At 39.2% G+C, this 6,100-nt stretch overlaps 1 annotated feature.

The window, feature by feature from the left end:
- Positions 5,257–5,817: an enhancer, noted in NCBI's record as "OCT4-NANOG hESC enhancer chrX:20991102-20991662 (GRCh37/hg19 assembly coordinates)". NCBI's record gives its function as "activates a minimal SCP1, AML or CMV promoter by ChIP-STARR-seq in naive and primed H9 embryonic stem cells {active_cell/tissue: H9 hESC(naive and primed)}" and the evidence as "EXISTENCE:reporter gene assay evidence [ECO:0000049][PMID:30033119]".

The raw sequence follows: 6,100 nt of genomic DNA, 5'->3' as shown, positions 1-6,100 counted from the left end.
AATTTATTCTCTTTACAGAGTAGGAAGCGGAGGCACCAAGAAGTTAAGTGAGTGAGGCACAGGACAGTATTAGTTCTCCACTATTTATTTGACAGTCAGCAGGTTGTTTACTATGGGTGGGACTTCATTTCCTCATCTATAACATGAAGCTCTCAGAGTAGAAAGCCTCTGTTTTCTTTAGTTTCCAACTTTTATAGTTTGCCCAAGTTCATGCAGCTAAATAATCCAAAGCTAATGGTAGAGCATAACCCACTGACAGCTTGTCAGATAGAGGGTCTCATAGATAGCTCTGCCCTTCAAATATTCGTCCTACTATAACTTATAGTCGTCCAGCCTTCATAAGGAACTATTTAGTATTGTTTGTTCTTACGAATAAAATGTTCTGTTCTCTACACTTAAATTAAAAAGTGGGCAATTTGGGTCTTTTATAGTGTAACAGAAACCACACTAAATTATGTTGCTATTGGTTCTTAATTAATTTTGGTTTTCTCCACTTTCCCCTGGGGGGAAAAATTGATTCTGTATCCAGGGTTAAGCAAATAATAATTACCTAAAAAGTCAAATATTCATTGTAAGTTGTGCTTATTGATCTTATTTTTTAATAAATTAATACTTTTCATAGATCAAAGAACAGGACTTATTTTTCCTTCCCTGGGCTAAGTGAATGAATGCCTTCTTAGAATATTAAAAAAACACTTGTAGTAGCAAAAGGAAGGAAATCCCATAACATAATTTTGTTTCTACTATGAATTTGGCCATCACCACAAACTTTGCTCTATCTTCCTACCTTCCTGTTTGAGAGGTGGTGAGAAAAAGTACAAAGAATGTTGGGTTTGAATCCAGAAATATGTAGATTTAATTGTGGCACCTCCACCTAGCTGTGTGACCTTCAACAAGTTACTGAACCATTGGCATTTGTAACTATTGTTTTTTTCAATTGCTTAGTGCTATGGTTTGAATGTGTCCCCCAAAGTTCTTGTGTTGGAGACTTAATCCCCAATGCAACAGTGTTGGCAGGTGGGGCCTTATAAGAGGTAATTAGGTTATTAGGGTTCTGCCCTCATGAATGGTTAATGTCATTATCACAGGACTGAGTTAGTTATCACAAGAGTGGGTTGTTATAAAAGTGAGTTCAGCTCTCTCTTGCTCTCTCATACACACCTTCTCTTGCCCTTCTGCCGTGGGTTATTATTGTTGATTGCTGTTTGGTGAATGGATTGAACAAGTAGGTTACCCAAGGGCAGCTTCCTCTTGCACCAAGTAACTAACATTTGTAACATGCCCTTCTTGACAACAAGAAGAGCCTTGTCAGATGCAGGCCTCTCAACCCTGGACTTCCCAGCCTCCAGAAGTGTAAGAAATAAATCTGCTTTTTATAAATAACTCAGTCTTGGATATTTCGTTATAACTGCACAAAACAGACTAAAACACTTAGTAAGCCTCCTATTGAAGAGATAAGTGACAGAACTTTCCCTGGTTATTTTGGGGGAGTATTATTTATCATTTAGTATTGAGTGTCTCCTACTCCTGCACATGGGAAAGTGTAGCAGTGGGCCTACTGCCCCACATTTGCCGTCAGATTTGATACATCTTAGAAAACATACCATATGCATAATTGCAATTCACAGGAAATAACGTCTTTCTTATCTTAATGGCCCATCAGTTCTTTGGTATCACTCTCTTCTGGGTGCTGTGCCTGCAGATTCCTTGGGTCCAGGTGGTATTGCTAGGCTGACTCTTAGAAAGATCCCTGCTGTAATTTTCCCATGCATTGGAGGGGTTGATGCCCTTTCCCAGTCAATCTTCCTTACCTCCCCAGGGCATCATCAATTTCCTTCCCTCTTTCCCTGGAAAACTTATTGAAATGACCAAAAAAATACCCACTTTACTATAAACGACATGCCATTTCACCCAGGAACATAAAACTATATCCTCTCTTCCAGAGTATATTTTTTCAGCTTCATTTTCTGACCAAGCATGTCACAGCATGCCTCTCACCCTTGGCAACTTTCTACTCTAGATAAAGATTTATTCCTCCGTACAAGGATCAGAGTCATTTTTGGCAAACAGAGACATTCAATCATCATCATGAGCTAAATGCCTCATCTTCCCTCTGGATCACAGAGTCCTAGAGGGTAGGATCCAAATCTTATGGCTACAAGCACAGAATTCCAAGAAGAAATGGCCTCTACATTTCTAAAACTCTGATTTTATAGTCTTTGCTGGAATCTGCTTTACAATTTATTTGTCAAGCAGTCATTTATCTCCTGTCTGAACATCTCCGATTTCCCTCTCTGTCTACTCATAAAAGATATTTGGTTATTATTGTTGATCGCTGTTTGGTGAATGGATTGAACAAGTAGGTTACTGAGGGCAGCTTCGTCTTGCACCAAGTAACTAACGTTTGTAGGAGGAAGAAAAATATTCCTCTACCCACTCTAGGTTTGTTGCTGAGGCCACTGTAACAAAAGATTAACAAGAGAAAAGCCATACAAATATATTTAATATAAGTTTTATGTAGCAGGGGGGCCTTCATAAGAAAATAAAGACCGCAAAAAACAGGTAACTTTAATTTTTTTTATAATAGATTTGATGAAGAGAGAAGAGTCATGAAGAAATGTGAGAGCACAAAAGGGGTGTGATCTAATGGTAGTAAACTAAGCAAGACATGTTTGCTCAGATTCTTCTCTGTGTTCCTGTGTCTTCAGAGATAAGAATGCTCCTTTCCTTCATGGTATAGGAAAGGCACCTCTCACCTGAGGGTCTTATGACCTGCTTCAGGGAAGGTCTGAAAATCCTTCCTAGGTTTTATGACTTGCTTCAGTGGGGGAAGAAAGGGGGAAGGTCAGAGAGACCTTCCTGCTTCTGTGGTTTTCTCAAATTTCTTCAGCTTAAACATTCGATATGCCAAGGTAACATTTTGGGGTAGCATGTCCTGAACCCATCATAATGTTCATTGTTCCAAAATGTTGGTCCAAAATACACGGAGATCCTATTATACGCAGGCACCTCTTGGCCTATATGTGAATATGCATGTGCGTACCGCCCCACCCCACCCCACACAGGTGAAACTCAAAGAATGCCATAAGCAAAATAAGAAATCTTTGGAGGAGTATCTTCACTTTTTTAGAAAGAATACTGTAGGAAGTAAAAAAACAAATTGAAACTTATCTCCGTTTAGGCTTTCAAGCAGTTATACCTAATAGAAAAACTACGAGGCCATAAATCCTGTAGTTGGTTAATAAATGAGAAAAAGAGTGAACAAGCCCTACTTTGAAAGTCAATCCTGTTACCTCTGATTGAGAAAATCATCTGTTTGGAAGGAAGTTAAATGAATATATTTTGTTCATCCAAGGGCCATCACACATCAAATGATCATCTTGTCTAAACCTAATTTATTTTTTGAGAGAAAGCAAGCAGCAATATCCCAGGCACCTTCTTTCCTTTTCTGATGGATCGGCCTCACATGCCTCTGAATAATCAATTTCCACCAGAGCATTTCCAAGTCTGTAACTAAGGACGATGTAGGTAAAGATGTACAATGATTTGTTTTCTATTAATCATTCTTCAGTGGTAGGATCAATTAACATATGTAAATGTCAATTAGTTATAAATAGACAAAAGCTGGGATGGTTTCAGTAGGACATTGGAGAAAGCACACTGTATGTTCAATGGTTTTTGAACCTTTTTTTTTTTAAGCTGAGAAATAGTATGTGGAATCCTAATGCAGTACATAAAATAGCTAAAAGAGTGTATGCTGGGCTTAAATTTGGCAGGTGAGCACGACAGACAAGACATGAACAGGGACTGAGGCTACCTTGCGGTCTTTCTCCCTCCTCTCTTCCCCCACCCACCCTCAATCCTCTTAACAGCCTTGAATATCTTGAGAGGACATTTAGGATTCCTTGGAACATAATTTAAAAATTAATGGCAGAGTGCTAAATAGATGTACTGTAGCAATTGATGAAGTCTTATTCTAATCCTGGATCCAAAGTATTAGCCATAAGAATCAGTGCAAATTATCAGGACTTTCTGAGCTCATTTGACATTTGTAGAATGGAGATGGCATTCGAATTAGGATAAATTAGATAACACTTATACAGTAGTCCCACCCTTATCCATGGTTTCACTTTTGCGGTTTCAATTACCCACAGTCAACCATGGTATGAAAATATTAAATGGAAAATTCCAGAAGTAAACAATGTATAAGTTTTACATTGTGAGCTATTCTAAGTAGTGTGATGTGTGATGAAATTTTATGCTGCTCTGCTCCAACTGGCACAGGATGTGAATCATCCAGGGATTTAGTAGCCATCTCAGTTATCAGACTGTTGTGGCATAAAAGCGCTTGTGTTCTTGTATCCTTTATTTTACTTAATAATGGCACCAAAGCACAAGAGCAGTTATGCTGGAATACTGTTATAATTGTTCTATTTTATTATTGGTTGTTGTTTATCTCTCACTGTGTCTAATTTTTAAGTTAAACTTTATCATAAGTATGTATGTATAGGAAAAAACATAGTCTATGTAGGGTTTGGTACTATCTGAAGTTTCAAGCATCCACTGGGGGCCTTGTAACATATCCCCTGCAGATAAGGGTTGGAGGGACTATTTATTGTAAAAAGTCAAGTAGGCATGCCTGTCATATAAGAGTTGCTTAATAAATTGCAGCTATTGTTGTTATCCAGGGGAAATACTTAAGTTTTCAGTGTTGCTCTGAAAGAACTCTGTGCTGAGGGTTTCTAAAGAATCACATTGTTGAAAATCATGGTTTATTTTGGGTGTGTTGGACCCAGAGACAAACACCATCTTTTACAAAATCTGTCAGGTGCTTTCAGGATCCCAGTTTTAACAACCCAAACTATGAGAGTAGTATCAGTGGGATTATAAATGAACATAGAGGAAAAGAGAATAAATACAACTGTAGTTTGAGGAAAAATGTGAATGGAGGTAAGAAGACACTTTCACTGCCAGAAGGTATCTCTTGCCTCACCATAACTCCCAGGCCCAGGCAAGCTTTTTTTTGACCTAAGGCATTAGCATTCTTCAGAATCAGCAGGTGAGACAACTTCAGTGCTTGGAGTGGACTTAGAAATCATTTACCGTCATGCACCGCATAAGAACGTTTCAATCAATGATGTTGGTCTCATAAGATTATAATGGAGCTGAAAATTCCTAGTGCCTAAGTGACATACTAGACTTTGTAATATCTCAGTGCAACACATTACTCAAGTGTTTGTGGTGATGCTGGTGTAAATAGTAACATGTTGTACAGGTTTGTAGCCTATTAGCAATGGGCTATACCATACAGCTTAGGTGTGTAGTAGGGTGTACCATCTAGGTTTGTATAAGTACACTCTATGATGTTTGCACAATAACAAAATCACCTGACAATGCATTTCCAAGAGCATGTCCCCATCTGATACATGACTGTTCAAATGCCTCATTTTACTGGGCAGCAAACGGTGAGGAGGGGTGCAAGGGAGACAAGGAAGGCTCAGAGGTAGTTTTTGAAATGTAAATACTTCTGGGAGAAAGACCTGTTAAGTCTTTATTGACTCCTTACTATGAATTACAATGGCGTTTCCATTGCAGGGTAGGGAAGGACTATTGTCTCCTGCGGACCTATACACTGCCAAGGTGGATAGTGAGGGGTCTTAGATAGCCAAGCCCAGTCTCAGGCCTTCAGGTCAGGGGAGCTGAAAATAAAAAGGACCCCCGGGAAAAGGAGCCCCTATAAAGTAATTTTTACCATCTTTGTACCCTCAGTGGAGCTGACTGAGCTGACCATGTTGAGGACCTCAGCAAATTTGGTGAGGCTCCTGTCTTCACACATCTCTTTCCCTAGAATCTATCTAATTACTTCCTCCTGCCCCAAAGAAGCAGAAAGTGATTGGACTTCATCAAGGCCATGTCTCTGCTGTCTAGTGAAGATGAAGACATTGGGGAGTTGGGGGTAAGAAGACTGTAGACAAGTAAAAAGTTAAGCAAGGTTCAGACTATTTGCGATATGCTAAATTCTGGCCCCTCCCTCTTTCATGCTTTCCCCTGCACCATCACTCCCAAAACAAGGCAAGAGTGAGATGAGCCAGGAGCATGA

This window comes from Homo sapiens, chromosome X (genome assembly GCF_000001405.40).
Source record: "Homo sapiens chromosome X, GRCh38.p14 Primary Assembly".
Lineage (NCBI taxonomy): Eukaryota > Metazoa > Chordata > Mammalia > Primates > Hominidae > Homo > Homo sapiens.
This window is presented reverse-complemented; position numbering and strand designations above follow the sequence as displayed.